The 17,215-nt window shown below is 51.4% G+C and overlaps 1 protein-coding gene across 10 annotated transcripts in view, besides 3 other annotated features; it reads left to right on the forward strand.

Annotated features, from left to right (window-relative positions):
* PTK7 (protein tyrosine kinase 7 (inactive)) overlaps positions 1 to 17,215 on the forward strand; it is an 85,402-nt gene that overhangs the window by 52,482 nt on the left and 15,705 nt on the right. For 2 of the 10 annotated variants that reach the window (NM_002821.5, NM_001270398.2), the window contains exons 2-16: positions 182 to 469; positions 932 to 1,034; positions 1,435 to 1,625; positions 1,716 to 1,866; positions 3,221 to 3,369; positions 3,626 to 3,892; positions 10,054 to 10,187; positions 10,341 to 10,476; positions 10,611 to 10,730; positions 12,873 to 13,022; positions 13,136 to 13,286; positions 13,377 to 13,504; positions 14,622 to 14,825; positions 15,656 to 15,811; positions 16,405 to 16,637. In NM_002821.5, coding sequence (NP_002812.2) covers positions 182 to 469; positions 932 to 1,034; positions 1,435 to 1,625; positions 1,716 to 1,866; positions 3,221 to 3,369; positions 3,626 to 3,892; positions 10,054 to 10,187; positions 10,341 to 10,476; positions 10,611 to 10,730; positions 12,873 to 13,022; positions 13,136 to 13,286; positions 13,377 to 13,504; positions 14,622 to 14,825; positions 15,656 to 15,811; positions 16,405 to 16,637 — 2,561 coding nt within the window. The remainder of the gene's footprint in view (positions 1 to 181; positions 470 to 931; positions 1,035 to 1,434; positions 1,626 to 1,715; positions 1,867 to 3,220; positions 3,370 to 3,625; positions 3,893 to 10,053; positions 10,188 to 10,340; positions 10,477 to 10,610; positions 10,731 to 12,872; positions 13,023 to 13,135; positions 13,287 to 13,376; positions 13,505 to 14,621; positions 14,826 to 15,655; positions 15,812 to 16,404; positions 16,638 to 17,215) is intronic. The other 8 variants (NR_072998.2, XM_047419157.1, NM_152880.4 and 5 more) reach the window with 5 other exon arrangements.
* Positions 3,270 to 3,771: an enhancer, noted in NCBI's record as "H3K4me1 hESC enhancer chr6:43099803-43100304 (GRCh37/hg19 assembly coordinates)". NCBI's record gives its function as "activates a minimal SCP1, AML or CMV promoter by ChIP-STARR-seq in primed H9 embryonic stem cells {active_cell/tissue: H9 hESC(primed)}" and the evidence as "EXISTENCE:reporter gene assay evidence [ECO:0000049][PMID:30033119]".
* Positions 3,772 to 4,271: an enhancer, noted in NCBI's record as "H3K4me1 hESC enhancer chr6:43100305-43100804 (GRCh37/hg19 assembly coordinates)". NCBI's record gives its function as "activates a minimal SCP1, AML or CMV promoter by ChIP-STARR-seq in primed H9 embryonic stem cells {active_cell/tissue: H9 hESC(primed)}" and the evidence as "EXISTENCE:reporter gene assay evidence [ECO:0000049][PMID:30033119]".
* Positions 14,631 to 14,720: an enhancer, noted in NCBI's record as "active region_24592". NCBI's record gives its function as "activates an Ori minimal core promoter by ATAC-STARR-seq in GM12878 lymphoblastoid cells {active_cell/tissue: GM12878}" and the evidence as "EXISTENCE:reporter gene assay evidence [ECO:0000049][PMID:35858748]".

The following is a 17,215-nucleotide window of genomic DNA, read 5'->3' on the forward strand; positions in this document are numbered from 1 at the left end:
AAAGAAAAAGAAAAGTTTTTCAGGGGACTCTTGCAATTGTGGCATCATGATCCTTCACACCTGCACTTACTGGACGCCTCCTGTGTACACAGCCCCTTTCCTCCTGTGCACAAGGTGGCCTGTGTTAGGACAGAGGCTGCAGCTCCCCCTGACCCTGCCTCTCCCCTGTTTGCATCTACAGGTACCCAGACAGCCATTGTCTTCATCAAGCAGCCGTCCTCCCAGGATGCACTGCAGGGGCGCCGGGCGCTGCTTCGCTGTGAGGTTGAGGCTCCGGGCCCGGTACATGTGTACTGGCTGCTCGATGGGGCCCCTGTCCAGGACACGGAGCGGCGTTTCGCCCAGGGCAGCAGCCTGAGCTTTGCAGCTGTGGACCGGCTGCAGGACTCTGGCACCTTCCAGTGTGTGGCTCGGGATGATGTCACTGGAGAAGAAGCCCGCAGTGCCAACGCCTCCTTCAACATCAAATGTGAGAGCCAGGGGGGCTGTGCCCAGTCCCCCTGTCAGACCCTCAATGACTGAGGCCTGGGGGATCCCTCCCTTACCTCAGCTTCTCCCATTTCCAGTTAAACGGGCCAGGCAGAATGCATTTATCATCAGCTTTTTTTGCTCATGTGGATAAGAGGAAATTAAAAGTTATATTTTTTCCAAAATTTTTTCCTTCAAGTCTGGGACCCATTTATCTGCTGCATGCTTGTGCAAATGGAAAGGGCGGCCGAGCCCTTGGCCAAGTGTCAGACTTGACCTGCCAGGGACCAGGCAGGCACTTAGTATCTGGTAACTGTAGCCCCAGCCTCAGCCTCCAGGGCTTCCTTGTGTCTGTTGGCACAGAGCCTCGAGGTTCCACGGCTTCCTGCTTGTCCTCCTTGCCCTCTGCCTTCCCGCCTTTGCCCTGCTCTGCCCCTCACTGCAACCGTGGCCTCTGCTACAGGGATTGAGGCAGGTCCTGTGGTCCTGAAGCATCCAGCCTCGGAAGCTGAGATCCAGCCACAGACCCAGGTCACACTTCGTTGCCACATTGATGGGCACCCTCGGTAAGGAGTCAGGGAGGTGGGGATGAAGAGGGTTATTCCGGACAGGGATGTCTCCCCAAATCTTGGACTCTATGCGGATGTTACCTCGCTCCATTCTGTGACCACTCGTTCCACCACCACAGTGCTCTTCACCCTGCCCTCCCCCAGATATTGCCCTATGCCGGCCCCTGGTGGCCTGAAGAGTGAGCCACATTGTGTGTAGAGCTGGGAGATCTAATATCAACTTGATTCTGCCCCTGAATCAGAATTACTGTGTGCCCTTTTGCAAGTCCCTTCCCTTCCTCAGGCCGTTTCTCCATGTATAAACTGAAAGGTCTAGCCCTGACCCTCTGATACTGTATCCTCTCCACTGGCCACTGAGTACCCCTCCCCACCACTGCTGACTGTGTCTGCCCTGCAGGCCCACCTACCAATGGTTCCGAGATGGGACCCCCCTTTCTGATGGTCAGAGCAACCACACAGTCAGCAGCAAGGAGCGGAACCTGACGCTCCGGCCAGCTGGTCCTGAGCATAGTGGGCTGTATTCCTGCTGCGCCCACAGTGCTTTTGGCCAGGCTTGCAGCAGCCAGAACTTCACCTTGAGCATTGCTGGTGAGCCTGGGGTGGGGGCGGAAGGGATGAGGTGAGCACAGGAGGGCCTCACCACCCAGGCTGCATGCTCCCCCATCTTTCCCTCTCCAGATGAAAGCTTTGCCAGGGTGGTGCTGGCACCCCAGGACGTGGTAGTAGCGAGGTATGAGGAGGCCATGTTCCATTGCCAGTTCTCAGCCCAGCCACCCCCGAGCCTGCAGTGGCTCTTTGAGGATGAGACTCCCATCACTAACCGCAGTCGGTAAGGCATCTGGCTGGGAGCATTCCAGTACCATGTACCACACACATGCATTCTGTAGAAGGGGGTGCGATTTGTATCACAGACATCACAGATTTGTACATGTATTATTTCAAATTTCCAAGAGACACAGTTGAATGTTTTGCTTTTACAAGATGAGTCTGACACAGGGAAGAGTCTCTGGGAAGAGCCCTTTTCCAGTTTGCACAAAGGCACTCTGAGCTAGTGATGGTTCCACTTCTCTCTCCCCACCACCCACATGGGTCTTCTGGGATGGAAGGGTAGAGACCCCAGGGATGAGAGAGACACAAGAGACCTAGGTAGTCAGGTGGTCATAGTCTAGATAGCGTGATCCAGTGTGGCAAAGACATCACACACACACACACACACACACACACACACACACACACACACACACACTTTTTAGAGGAAGCAAACACCTCTAGAAGGTTCCAGCCCTACTGCAGGGACTTCTGTTCTTGCCTGGACCCTAGGAGAACATAGAACACCTTTGCAGTGTCAGGCACGACCATGGTCCTTGGGGGTGTGGCTTCCTAGGCTAGGGGCTTGGATGCCACTTGGCTTCAGCCCTGAGGACATCATCAGTAGCCTGCCTGGTATGGCTGAGGGGTATCTGACCCTGGAGCTGGGTGCCCTATCAACGTGGCCCTGTGGGAAGGTGGCTTCCCTGTCTTGACAGTTGCACATGGTGGTTATTCTGTGTATTAGTCCATTTTAATGCTGCTGATAAAGACATACCCGAGACTGAGCAGTTTACAAAAGAAAGAGGTTTAATTGGACTTACAGTTCCACATGGCTGGGCAAGCCTCACAATCATGGCAGAAGGCAAGGAAGACCAAGTCACGTCTTACATGGATGGCAGCAGGCAAAGGAGAGAGAGCTTCTGCAGGGGAATGCCTCATTTTAAAACCATCAGATCTCGTGAGACTTGTTCACTATCATGAGAACAGCACGGGAAAGACTTGCCCCCATGATTCAGTTACCTCCCACTGGGTCCCTCCCACAACATGTGGGAATTATGGGAGCTACAATTTAAGATGAGATTTGAGTGGGGACACAGCCAAACCATATCACTCTCTCTCGCACCTGCATTGCCATTTGCCTCATTGCTTCCCGAGCTGATCTCCTGTAGTTGGAACACACACCTGCACGTGCACCTGAGCAAGTGTATGCAGGCACACACACCAGTCTGGAGTGTCAGCTTCCTTCTCTCTGCCCTGTTCCTGGTCGATTCCTTACTACATTTCCGACTTTGCAGGAAAGGGGTTCCCTTGCATTCCTTTCCAGAACTAGGCCTATTGGCCACTTTCTCCAAATTGCACTCTCCCCTCTGCAGCCCCCCACACCTCCGCAGAGCCACAGTGTTTGCCAACGGGTCTCTGCTGCTGACCCAGGTCCGGCCACGCAATGCAGGGATCTACCGCTGCATTGGCCAGGGGCAGAGGGGCCCACCCATCATCCTGGAAGCCACACTTCACCTAGCAGGTGAGTCTCTGGGTCTGGGGTGCTGATGTGGGAGGCTGCCTTTAACATTTTTGGCACATAGAGATTTAGGCTTCTGTTTTTACTCAGCCGCTTGGAGGGCAGGGGAAGAAAAGGATGCTGGGAGTAGGAAGAGGATATGCAGAGGGCTGCAGGGGAGGGTTTGTGCTGGGAAAGGGCCTAGGCTTGCTGTGGGAGAACATCATGTACCCTGAGACCCACAATAATTGGGCCATTCCTCCTACTTATGTCCTTGCAGAGATTGAAGACATGCCGCTATTTGAGCCACGGGTGTTTACAGCTGGCAGCGAGGAGCGTGTGACCTGCCTTCCCCCCAAGGGTCTGCCAGAGCCCAGCGTGTGGTGGGAGCACGCGGGAGTCCGGCTGCCCACCCATGGCAGGGTCTACCAGAAGGGCCACGAGCTGGTGTTGGCCAATATTGCTGAAAGTGATGCTGGTGTCTACACCTGCCACGCGGCCAACCTGGCTGGTCAGCGGAGACAGGATGTCAACATCACTGTGGCCAGTGAGCACCTTTGCCCTGAAGGTCAAGGAGAGGTGGAGGGGAACACAGGTCTGGGTGTGATGGACAGAGGCTTCCCTGGTACTCACCTGAGGTCCTCTCAGTTCTGGGCCCTGCAGGCTTGGGAATCAGTTCACTACTGGGAGTCGGTGTAGACAGTAGAGAGCCAGGCACAGGGGTTAGGGTGGGTGCTCCAGAGGAAATAGTGACAGCCCTCACAGAAAAATGGTCCTCTGGGTACAGAGGAAAGAGCAATAGACTAGGAATCTAGAGACCTGGGTCCCACTATGCTCCCAATGCACAGAGTGACGATGGTAGCAAATCACCCACCTTACTGGGGTTCAGTCTCCTCATCCATAAAATGGAGCCAGTAATCTACTACCTACCCCACAAGGTGGTTGGAAAGGTCAAATGAAGTAGATGAAAATGATTTTTCTTTTTTTCTTTTTTGGGAGGTAATAGTGGACAAAATTATAGGTGATTTTTAATTTGTTTTAGTTTGTTATGCTTTCCAAATTTCTTTACTAAACATATTACTTATGAAAAAAAAGAGGGGGAGAAAAGCAAGACATATGACTGAAAGTACACATGATAAACCCTTTATATCAGGCTGGGCGCGGTGGCTCATGCCTGTAATCCCAGCACTTTGGGAGGCCGAGCCGGGCGGATCACAAGGTCAGGAGTTGGAGACCAGCCTGACCAACATGGTGAAACCCCATCTCTACTAAAAATACAAAAATTAGCTGGGCGTGGTGGGGCACACCTGTAATCCCAGCTACTCAGGAGGCTGAGGGAGGAAAATTGCTTGAACCCAGGAGGCAGAGGTTGCAATGAGCTGAGATCGCACCGTTGCTCTTCAGCCCGGGCAACAGAGTGAGACTCCATCTCAAAACAAAACAAAACAAACCTTATATCCTCACTACAGGCATAGGGATTTATTTGTTTACTTATTTCTTTATACCATGCCTTGTTCCAAACCTTTTGTGGTAGTTTAAAAGGATACACAATAAAAATTACAATATGCACACAGAGACACACATACATACAAACTATTTTGCAATCTGCTTCTTCCACTTACCTTTATGTTACTATTATCTTTCCGAGTGGGTAACTTTGCAAAAAGATTTGAATATGAAAGTGGCTTTGTAAATGTGAAGTTGTGATGCTAGTATTCCCATTAGGATACTGAAATCTTAGAAGACATGCACCTATACTCAGGCCGTGATTTGGGTGGGAATCACAGCACATGTGTAACGAGTGCTCAGGACACTCACAGTGCAGGTGCAAAGGCAAGATGCACAGTCAAGCCTTCCTCCAGTTGAGGTCTGAGAATCACCTGCTTTCATTAGGGATACTTTTTCTTCTTTTGTTTGAGACGGAGTCTCACTCTGTCACCCAGGCTGGAGTGTAGTGGTGTGATCTTGGCTCACTGCAACCTGCGCCTCCCAGGTTCAAGTGATTCTCGTGCCTCAGCCTCCCAAGTAGCTGGGTTTAAAGGTGTGTGCCACCACACCTGGCTAATTTTTGTATTTTTAGTAGAGGCGATGTTTTACCATGTTGGCCAGGCTAGTCTCAAACTCTTGACCTCAAGTGATCCACCTGCCTCGGCCTCCTAAAGTGCTGGGATTATGGGTGTGAGCTGCCATGCCCGGCCTCATTAGGGATACTTTTTAAAACACAGGCCAGGCGTGGTGGTTCACACCTATAATCCCAGTGCTTTGGGAGGCCGAGATAGGAAGATCTCTTGAGCCCAGGAGTTTGAGACCAGGCTGGACAAAATAGTGAGACCTTGTGTCTACAGAAATTTAAAAAGTTAGCTGGGCGCGGTGGCTCACGCTTGTAATCCCAGCACTTTGGGAGGCCGAGGTGGGTGGATCACGAGGTCAGGAGTTCGAGATCAGCCTGACCAACATGGTGAAACCCCGTCTCTACTAAAAATACAAAAATTAGCTGGGCATGTTGGCACTCACCTGTAATCCCAGCTACTTGGGAGGCTGGGGCAGGAGAATTGCTTGAATCCAGGAGGCAGAGGTTGCAGTGAGTCGAGATCGTGCCATTGCACTCCAGCCTGGGTGACAGAGCGAGACTTTGTCTCAGGAAAAAAAAAAAAAAAAATTTAGCCAGGTATGGTGATGCACACCTATAATCCCAACTATTTGGGAGGCTGAGGCTGGAGGATCATTTGAGCTCGGGAGCTGGAGGTTCCAGTGAGCTATGATCACACTACTGTACTGGAGCCTGGATGACAGCAAGACCCTGTCTCCAAAAAAATGTCTAAGACATTGCTGGAGCCTTGAAAAAAAGAAAAAAAATGCAGAATTCGGGGCCCCACTCCACAGCTTCCAACCCAGGCTCTAGGGGTGGGACCCAGGTAGATGTGTATTTAACAAGTGCTCTGGGTGATACTTCATGTGTGTTCAAGTTGGGGAACTCTGGCTTTGATCAGTCATTCCACAGATGCTGACTGAGGCTGACACTGAGCCATGCCAGTGTCCCTTGCTGTGCTCTGAGAAGGAGGCCTGTGGCATTTGAGAGTGTGTGATGCAAACAGGGCCAGATCAGGTGCTGGGTGTTAGAGGGTAGAGCCCAGAAGACGGAGAGCTCTGGGAATGCATTCAGTCAACAGAGATTTGTCGAGCACCTTGTGCTAGCTCTTCCCAGTACTGGATGCAACTGTGAACAAAGCAGGCAGAAGCCCCTCTCCTTGTGGAGTTCATATTCTAACAGCGGGGACAAAGCCAGTAAGAAAAACTATCAAATGAACAAATATAATTTTAGGTGCCAGTAGAACAAGGGAGAACAATGAAATAGGGCAAGTGATAGAGAAAGGGCAGGGCCAGTGAGAGTTTAGGGAAGACTTCTGTAAAAGGTGCATTGGAGTTGGTATTTAAATTAAGAAGGGAGCCAGCCATGTGATAGGCCCTGAGATGGAAATGGGCTTGTATGTTGGAGGAACAGTAGTCGCCTGTGTGGCTTGAGTTGAATAAACGATGGTGAGAGGGGTTGAAGTTGCCTGAGAGGTGGAAACTAAATCCCATAGGCCTTGTAAAAGCATAGTAAGGACTTTGGCTTCGGCATCAGTTATCCATTGCTACATAGCAAACCACTTCAAAACGTGGTGGCACTTTGGGAGGCCGAGGCAGGTGGATCACTTGAGGTCAGGAGTTTGAGACCAGCCTGGCCAACATGGTGAAACCCCATCTCTACTAAAAATACAAAAATGGCTGGGTGCAGTGGCTCACGCCTTGTAATCCCAGCACTTTGGGAGGCCGAGGCAGGTGGATCACGAGGTCAGGAATTCGAGACCAGCCTGACCAACGTGCTGAAACCCCGTCTCTACTAAAAATACAAAAATTAGCCAGGTGTGGTGGCATGTGCCTGTAATCCCAGCTACTCAGGAGGCGGAGGTTGCAGTGAGCCGAGATTGCGCCACTGCACTCCAGCCTGGGCGACAGAGCGAGACTCTATCTCAAAATAAAATAAAAAATACAAAAAAAAAAATTATCCAGGCATGGTGGCACATGCCTGTAATCCCAGCTACTTGGGAGGCTGAGGCAGGAGAATCGCTTGAACCTGGGAGGTGGAGGTTGCAGTGAACAGAGATCGCGCCACTGCACTCCAGCCTGGGTGACAGAGCAAGACTCCAACTCAAAAAAAAAAAAAACCAAACCGTAGTGACTTGAAACAACAAACAACAGCCGTTGACATGCTTATGATTCTGTGGACAGGTTCAGGTGGGCCCGCTCGTCTACCTGGTGTGCTATCGGCTGGGTGTACACGTTTGCAGTCAGCTGATGGGTGAGCTGGCCTGGTCCCTGGCGGCCACACTCACCTGTCTGGCAGTTGACTGGGGCTATTGACCAGGGTGCCTTAGTTCTCCTCCACATGGCATCTCCAGTAGGCTAGCCAGGCTTCCTCACCTGGCAGCTGGGTTCCGAGAGGGCAAAAGTGGAAGCTGCAGTACTACCACTGTGTTCTGTTGGACAAGGGAAGTCACAGGCCACTCAGATTCCAGGGACTAGAAAAATACACCATGACCCAGTTCAGTGGCTCACGCTGCAATCCCAGTATTTTAGGAGGCCAAGGTGGGAGGACTGCTTGAGCCTAGGAGTTTGAGACCAGCCTGGACCACATGGCCAGACCCCGTCTCTACTAAAAATAAAAAAAAAATTAGCTGGGCCTGGTGGTACGCGCCTGTGGTCCTAGCCACTTTGGAGGCTGAGGTGAGAGGGTTGCTTGAGCCTGGGACGCTGAGGCTGCAGTAAGCCATAGTGGCGTGACTGCACTCCAGCCTAGGTAACAGGATGAGACCCTGTCTCACACACACAAAAAGAAATAAACTCTACCTCTTGATGGGAAAGTGTCAACATCACATTGAAAAGAGTTGAAAGGGATGGGAGGATTGTTTATAACTATCATTGCAAGCAGCCTACCACACCACATTGGATGGGAAGGTCTTGCAGGGTTTTGAGTGGAAGACTGATTTTTCAGAAGATCGCTCTGGCTGTTTTGAGACTAGAATGTTAGGGCCAAGAGTATAAACAAGGAGACCCATACTAAGTAGATGACTATAATAGTCTAGGGGAGATACTGAAGGAGCTTGAACAGAGGCAGTAGCGGTGGGGGTGAGAGGTGGTCAAATTCAGGATATATTTAGGAGCCCCAGTAGATAGGGTTTGGTAGAACGAGTGTGATGGGGGTGGGGTATAGAGAGAAGACAAGGCTAGCTTTTTGGCTTTCTTAACTGACTAGATAGTTCTATTGACTGAGATAGGGAAAATGAGTGAGCAGGTTTTGGGGGAAGTCAGGTGTTCTCTTTAGCACACGTAAAGTTTGAGATGCCTGTTGGATATCCAGTTGGAAATGCCAGTAGGCAATTGGATTTATAGGAATCAGGATGTAGTTTTGGGAACCAACCATTCATGTTGTATTGAAGGTTGTGGACTGGATGAGTGAGTGTTGCTAAAACAGAACAGATTTCTGAGGACTGCGCCTTGGCATTTTATGGTGTAATAAGAAGAACAAGGGTTTCAGAGTCATATAGACCAGAGTTTTAAATTCTGTCACTATTAGGTATTAGCAAATCACCATTACTTCTTCTTTTTTTATTATTGTTATTATTATTTTTTATCTTTTATTTGAGATGGAGTCTCACTCTTTCGCCCAGGCTGGAGTGCAGTGGCGTGATCTCGGCTCACTGCAACCTCCACCTCCCAGGTTCAAGCGATTCTTGTGCCTCAGCCTCCCCAGTAGCTGGGATTACAGGTGCCCGCCACCACACCCGGCCAATGTTTTTGTATTTTTAGTAGAGACGGGGTTTCACTATGTTGGCCAGACTGGTTTTGAACTCCTGACCTCAAATGATCTGCCCGCCTTTGCCTCTTAAAGTGCTGGGATTACAGGCGTGAGCCACTGTGCCTGGCCACCATTACTTCTTTGAACATCTGTTTTCTTAGCTGTAAAGTGCGTGTTGGAATACATACCTTGGGGGGTTTGTTTTTTTTGTTTTTTTAGAGATGGGGGTTTCACTCTGTTGCCTAGGCTAGAGTGCAGTGTCTTACAGCAGCCCTCCCGCCTCGGCCTCCCAAAGTGCTGGGATTACAGGTGTGAGCCACCACTCCCTGCCTACCATAGGGGCTTATAACTAAGATAATGTTAACTAAGTTAATTAATGTGACAGTTAACTAAGATAATGTTCAAAAGGTGCTGGTGGCCGGGCGTGGTGGCTCATGCCTGTAATCTTAGCACTTGGGGAGGCTTGAAGCCAGGAGTTTGAGACCAGCCTGGGCAACATAGCAAGACCCCATCACTACAGAAAATAAAAAAATTAGCCAAGTATTGTGGTGCATGCCTGTGGTCCCAGCTATTTGGGAGGCTGAGGTGGGAAAAATCACTTGAGCCTATGAGTTCGAGACTGTAGTGAGCCATAATTGTGTCACTCTACTCCAGCCTGGGTGACAGAGTGAGAACCTGTCTTAAAAGAAAAAAAATTTTAAAAAAGGTGCTGGCACCTGGGTCTTCCGTAAAGGGAAACTCCTGCCATCTGAGGAGCATGGGGCTTCTGAACTCAGGGCCTAGAATGGTAGTAGGATTTCTTGGAGATGGATCCTTTAGTTTTGGAGACCTGTGAAGCAGCCTTCACTGTTTCCTTCCTGTCTGTCTAGCTGTGCCCTCCTGGCTGAAGAAGCCCCAAGACAGCCAGCTGGAGGAGGGCAAACCCGGCTACTTGGATTGCCTGACCCAGGCCACACCAAAACCTACAGTTGTCTGGTACAGAAACCAGATGCTCATCTCAGAGGTGAGAAAGAAGAGTGTTGCTAGTGGATGGGCGGGGCCTTCCCTCCACTTGCCCTCTTCTGTGCTCACCTCCATAGCACTCTTACCCTGGAGGCAGCCTCCAGGGAGAGGTGGGTGTGGGTTCAGGCTCTGAGGCCTCTCACCTGTGCTGCAGGACTCACGGTTCGAGGTCTTCAAGAATGGGACCTTGCGCATCAACAGCGTGGAGGTGTATGATGGGACATGGTACCGTTGTATGAGCAGCACCCCAGCCGGCAGCATCGAGGCGCAAGCCCGTGTCCAAGTGCTGGGTGAGCCAGCATGTCTTGGGGGAGCACCCTTCCTGGCTAGGCAGGAGAGGAAAGGGGAGGGAGCAGCAGGCCTGGCCACGGCCTCTCCAGCGGCCCCAATTCCTCGTCTTTCTACCCACCCTCTGCTGAAACAGAAAAGCTCAAGTTCACACCACCACCCCAGCCACAGCAGTGCATGGAGTTTGACAAGGAGGCCACGGTGCCCTGTTCAGCCACAGGCCGAGAGAAGCCCACTATTAAGTGGGAACGGGCAGGTGGGTACAGTGCCGGCATAGGGTAGGGGCAGGCAGGCAGTTCACTGATCAGATACATACCTGAGGGCTGCTGGGTGCCCCGCACTGTGCCAGGAAATGTGGAGATTAGACAAGCAGTGCAGGGCTGATGTATAGTTTAGTTAGGAAGGAAAAAGCCAGACACAGAAGAGGTCAGATTATAGCCTTGGACAACATGGAAGACAACTCAAGGCAACAAGTGATTGGATTGGTTCAGACAGTGCTGTAAAGTCCTCTCTTCCCCTTTTCCAAAATAGTTTATCTTTTCCAACATAAAAATTACATGGAGGCCGTGCATAGTGGCTCACGCCTGTAATCCCAACACTTTGGGAAGCCGAGATGGGTGGGTCACTTGAGGCCAGGAGTTTGAGACCAGCCTGGCCAACATGGTGAAACCCCATCTCTACTAAAAATGCAAAAGTTAGCCAGGCGTGGTGGCACATGCTTGCAATCCCAGCTGCTTAGGAGGCTGAAGCAGGAGAATCGCTTGAACCCAGGAGGTGGAGGCTGCAGTGGGCCGAGATCATGCCATTGCACCAGAGTCTGGCTGACAGAGTGAGACTCTGACTCAAAAGAAAAAAGAAACAAAAGTTACATGGGCTCCTTTACAAAATACTGGAAGAGGCCGGGCGTGGTGGCTCACGCCTGTAATCCCAGCACTGTGGGAAGCTGAGGTGGGTGGATCACGAGGTCATGAGATAGAGACCATCCTGGCTAACATAGAGTAGTGAAACCTCGTCTCTACTGAAAATACAAAAAATTAGCCAGGGGTGGCGGCACGCATCTGTAGTGCCAGCTACTCGGGAGGCTGAGGTAGGAGAATTGTTTGAACCCAGGAGGCGGAGGTGGCAGTGAGCCGAGATTGTGCCACTGCACTTCAGCCTGGGTGGCAGAGCGAGACTCCATCTCAAAAAAAAAAAAAAAAATATTGGGAGAAAAAATGTACAGTCCTGCCGTTTATCATCTTTGGGTGTATGTCTTCTTTTTCTGTGCATATGTTTTTCTTTTTTTACCTAGCAGTTTTATTGTATATATAGTTTCAGTTATTAAATTTACATGATTGGCTGAGTGTGGTAGCTCATGCCTGTAATCCCAGCACTTTGGGAGGCCGAGGTGGGAGGATCGCTTGAGCCCAGGAGTTCAAGACCAACCTGGGCAATACAGGGAGACCCTGTCTGTACAAAAAATTTAAAAATTAGCCAGGCATGGTGGTGCATGCCTGTAGACATGCTTATTGTAGAATTAGACAATACAGATAACTATGTAGTTTTTAAAAATATTTTTTAAAATTATTTATTTTTATTTTTTTTGTAACGGTGTAATTTTATACCCTTTTTTACTTACCATTGTCAAGCATTTCCCCACATCTTTATACACTCTTCATGAATATTTGTTTTGATGATCCTAATAATATTTCAACAATTGGATTCACTGTAATTTACTTAACTGTTCCTTAAATGTTGGAGATTTGGGTTGTTAACCAGCCACCCACCCACCCCCTTTTTTTTCATTGCTGCAATAAACATCTTTAAGCCAAAGTTTTTTTCTGGATTTAGGTTTATTTCCTTTGGGAAAGATTCCCAGAATTGGGATAATTATGCACGAAAGGGGGTATGAACATTTTTATAGCCCTTGATGTGAGTTGCCAAATTATTTTTTAAAAGGTTGGACCAATTTTGACATTTCCACCTAGAGTGAGAGAGTACAGTTGTAGATTCTGAGGAGGAAGTAGGCTCCCTCTGCTCAGGTCTGGGGGAACTTTCTGGGAGAGGTGAGGCTTAAAATGGATCTACAGCCTGGGATGGTAAAGAGCGGGAATGGGCTCTAGGAGGGAGAAGTGATGGGCAGCGGAGTAGGAACAGGGCCGATCTGGGCCCAAACAGAGTCCGGTTTGGCAGACGTGGAATGTCACACAGGGCAGTAGGAGGAAGAGGTGAGACTGAAGAATTGGAAGAGGGGTAAATAACGGAGGGGCTTCTAACACTTGGCTCAGGAGTTTGGACTTTGCCTGTGGGTGGTCAGGAGCGATGGTGTGTTTTTGAGTAGAGGTGAGGGACTGAAGGCATTGCCAGCTGTCTGTGTAACCCTGATCCTTCCCATAATTTCCCTTTGTTACCCCTGCAGATGGGAGCAGCCTCCCAGAGTGGGTGACAGACAACGCTGGGACCCTGCATTTTGCCCGGGTGACTCGAGATGACGCTGGCAACTACACTTGCATTGCCTCCAACGGGCCGCAGGGCCAGATTCGTGCCCATGTCCAGCTCACTGTGGCAGGTGCGACCGTGGCAGGGCCCTGGGGCTGGGAGGGCCCTCTGGGGTAGCACCGTGTACCCTGCCAGCCCCTTGGCTTACCCCTCCCTGCGCCTCGCTGGTCTCTTTTCTTCCAGTTTTTATCACCTTCAAAGTGGAACCAGAGCGTACGACTGTGTACCAGGGCCACACAGCCCTACTGCAGTGCGAGGCCCAGGGGGACCCCAAGCCGCTGATTCAGTGGAAAGGCAAGGACCGCATCCTGGACCCCACCAAGCTGGGACCCAGGTAGGGCCACCTCTCTCCCACACCCGTCCCTCCTCTCCTGCAGCCCCCCTCCCTGCGAGCTGGCCAGCACTATGGCTTCTCCCCCGACAGGATGCACATCTTCCAGAATGGCTCCCTGGTGATCCATGACGTGGCCCCTGAGGACTCAGGCCGCTACACCTGCATTGCAGGCAACAGCTGCAACATCAAGCACACGGAGGCCCCCCTCTATGTCGTGGGTATGGGCTGGGGAGGGTTATGCTGCACAGGAAGTGGTGGGCCCAGACGTTTGTCACCTTGTACTCAGCCCCTGTGTACAGAACATGGCACAGAAGCCATTTTTGTGGCAGCGGTGGGGATTCGGCCGTCTCACCATGCTGCTGCACAGTCTTAGAGTCCTTGCTCAGAGCCGGGCTGTCGTTTATTTAACATCCAACGGTCGGTGTGTGTGTGTGTGTGTTGTGGGGGAGTGGGGGGGTGTTCTCTTCCTACAATGCTGCCTCCCAGGTTCCTGCAGCAGCCACACATATCTCTGGGTGGCTGGGGAGGAGGACCAGGTCAGAATGCAGTAGGACAAGGTTCTTTTCTCCAGGAGGCCCAGAGAGGATGATGGGTCAGGTAAAAGGCCCTGCACTTAACTCTCTGCCCCTGGGAGACTTATTTCTCCTCTGGGGACTTGTTTCTGCATCCACAGGTGAAAGTGGTTTAAATGAGAAGCTCTTAAACTTTCTTGGTTTGGCAGCAGAGTTATTTTTCTAGACAAAGTATAATGTGAAAGTTTAAATGGATGAAAATGAACTGAGGAGGCCCCCTTGGTGGGAGCCACTGGGGTGTGTGTGGCAGTTGGGGGATCCTGCATGGTCTCCCTTCATTCCCCTAATGCCTCTTGAGGCCCCTCAGTGTGGGCCATTAAAAGGCCCCTAGACCAGCAGATCCCTTCTACAGATCTGCTTATTGAAAAACCTGCTCTGTGCCAGGCAGTGCCTGGAATTCTAAACCTGAAGCTCCCAAATGCTGCTCTCCGGGGCCTGGCTCACATTATCAAGTCACTTGGGAAGCTTAACAAATAACGTGGGTTTGTGGTAGCTCCTTGACAGGTGTGCTTATCCGTGTCGCCTGTCTTGGCTTCCGATGCAAAGCCAGCTTGGGAACCCCTGGCCTCATCTCCTTCAGAGTCTTCGTTTGACCTTGGTGGGGCATGAGGACCTGCTGGCCCTTGTTAAAGCCAGTGAAGGTGGTGACCCTCCCGGGCCATCTGTTAAGTTGCCCTGTTGATGGGGTTGGGAGGAGTTAGTAGAGAAGCAGGGCTTCTTTTGCTTAGCAGCCCCTGCCCAGACCCATCTGTGTGTCTCTCAGACAAGCCTGTGCCGGAGGAGTCGGAGGGCCCTGGCAGCCCTCCCCCCTACAAGATGATCCAGACCATTGGGTTGTCGGTGGGTGCCGCTGTGGCCTACATCATTGCCGTGCTGGGCCTCATGTTCTACTGCAAGAAGCGCTGCAAAGCCAAGCGGCTGCAGAAGCAGCCCGAGGGCGAGGAGCCAGAGATGGAATGCCTCAACGGTGAGGGGCCCTGGACGGGGAGGTGGTGCCCGTGTGCGGGAGCTGAGCGCCCTCCCGCGGCCACGGAGGGGAGAGCGCCAGCACTCTGGAAACCGAGCGGCTGTTGCTGGGTCCTGGAGCTGGGACTGCCCCACCCCTAGCGGGAAGCCTGGAGTTGGATTCCCAGGGCCTCGTCTTCTGAGCAACCTGGCTTGAGACTTCTTCATTGGAGCCCCTTGGACCAGCTTCCTATGATTCCCTGCTGTTTCCTCCTCCCAGCACAAAACCACAGATATCATTAGTATATGTACACACGTTGCTGTTGCATGTCTTGTCTCCCTCTATGAGTCTAAGAGCTCCCCCAGGGGCAGTCTTTCTGTTTACTTCCCTTCTCCTATCCCCACTTCCTGGACTGGGAGCTCCTTGAGGTCATTGCTGGGTCTCTCCTATCAGCTCAGGTGTTCAGGAGCAGAGGTTGGGTCTCCATTATTGTGATTTTCCCTTTGTGCCTGTTTAGGGCTTTGCCCAATAGGAGGCCCCATGAAAGCAAAAATCCTTATGTGTAGCTATGGTATTAAGGACCAGTGATTCAGATTAGATGTCTGCAGTTGGCTTCATCTCAGAGGTCATAATCAGCTGCATCACTAAGGGGTCATACCCTAGGGGATAGCCATACATCCCCCACCCAGCCCCAGCCCCATTATTTCATCATTTGGGCTTGCCCTTTCATGTGGAGCACTGTGATTGGACCCAAGTTGGCAAGAGTGGAAGACCAGGGGACAGAACAGAAATCCCCATGGTGGCCAGAGTGTCAGGTCTCATCGTGACGCTCTTGTCCTCCTCCTTCCCAGGTGGGCCTTTGCAGAACGGGCAGCCCTCAGCAGAGATCCAAGAAGAAGTGGCCTTGACCAGCTTGGGCTCCGGCCCCGCGGCCACCAACAAACGCCACAGCACAAGTGATAAGATGCACTTCCCACGGTCTAGCCTGCAGCCCATCACCACGCTGGGTATGTTGCCTTGACTACAGCTGCCCCTGCCTAACTACAAGTCACCCGCTGTGTCTTGAGGCTGGGTACGGGCTAGTGTTCTGAAGTCCCTGAAACCTAGAATGTTAGAGGTGGAGGGAAGCATAGGTAGAGATCTAGCCCAGTGTGGCCCCAGAGCCTGTTATTCACTGCCCTTCGTGCAGATTTTGTCATTCCTGTGTACTACCTGTAGTATTATTTACTTGATGTTTTATTTAAATTGACTCTTTAAAAAAAAAAACTAAGTTACCATTGTTCTAGGAAAAAATATGAGAAATCATGGGTTTGTCATAGTTACGTTTTTTCCTAGCATACGTTAAGACATGTTTACCATGAGCCACCAAAAATTCTCATGCGAGTCACCCTTTGGAAAATGCTGAATATTAGTCCCACCCTTTTATTTTGTTGCTGCAGACACTGAAGCCTAAGGAGGGAGGGGGTCACAGCAGAACCGGGTCTCGTGCCCAGCCCAGGTGGGTGGGTCCCCACTGTGGGAGAGGCTAGGCCCCTCCCCCAGGTCAGGAGCTGCCTCGGCCTGGGTGAAGGTGGCTGGCTGACTCAGACTGTACCCACAGGGAAGAGTGAGTTTGGGGAGGTGTTCCTGGCAAAGGCTCAGGGCTTGGAGGAGGGAGTGGCAGAGACCCTGGTACTTGTGAAGAGCCTGCAGAGCAAGGATGAGCAGCAGCAGCTGGACTTCCGGAGGGAGTTGGAGATGTTTGGGAAGCTGAACCACGCCAACGTGGTGCGGCTCCTGGGGCTGTGCCGGGAGGCTGAGCCCCACTACATGGTGCTGGAATATGTGGATCTGGTATGCTGTTGGCAGGGGACGTGGGGGTCTCGGGTAGGGAGGGCAGTGTCCTACAAAGGTGGGAGTCAGTGGTTGGAGCACCGTGAAAACCTTGTCTCGTGCAGTCTCAGCCGAGACCTCACCTGCCTGCTGTTACACTTTGCCCACCTTATGATGCTCAGCTTCTGCCTTCCCTGCTCTTGGATGCCTGCTTTCCCTTTATCAGCACCCAGTCTTTCCATCTGTATCTCAGGGGCGTTGGTCCTAAGTTTTTCTGGGACTTCTCACTGTCACACTGCAGGGATGCCTTCCAGGTCATCTTCTCTGACTCTTGTTTTCTTTGGTTTGTTATTTTTTCCTCCCCAAAAGCTTGTCCCCACTTGAGAATAAATATATCAGAACCCACTTTGCCTCCCTCCTTCCTAGCACCACTTGTGACATGAGTGTTACCCCAGCCACCAGCCTTCTCCTCTCCACTCAGGGTGTCATTCCCAGAGCTGCGCCTTCCTCTTCATTCCCCAGCTGGTCCTTGCCCTCACCCCATGGTCCTCAAACTGCTGCTTCTCAAATCCCTAGTTCTGGGGCAAGAGCGGGCAGGA

This window comes from Homo sapiens, chromosome 6 (genome assembly GCF_000001405.40).
Source record: "Homo sapiens chromosome 6, GRCh38.p14 Primary Assembly".
Classification (NCBI taxonomy): Eukaryota; Metazoa; Chordata; class Mammalia; order Primates; family Hominidae; genus Homo; species Homo sapiens.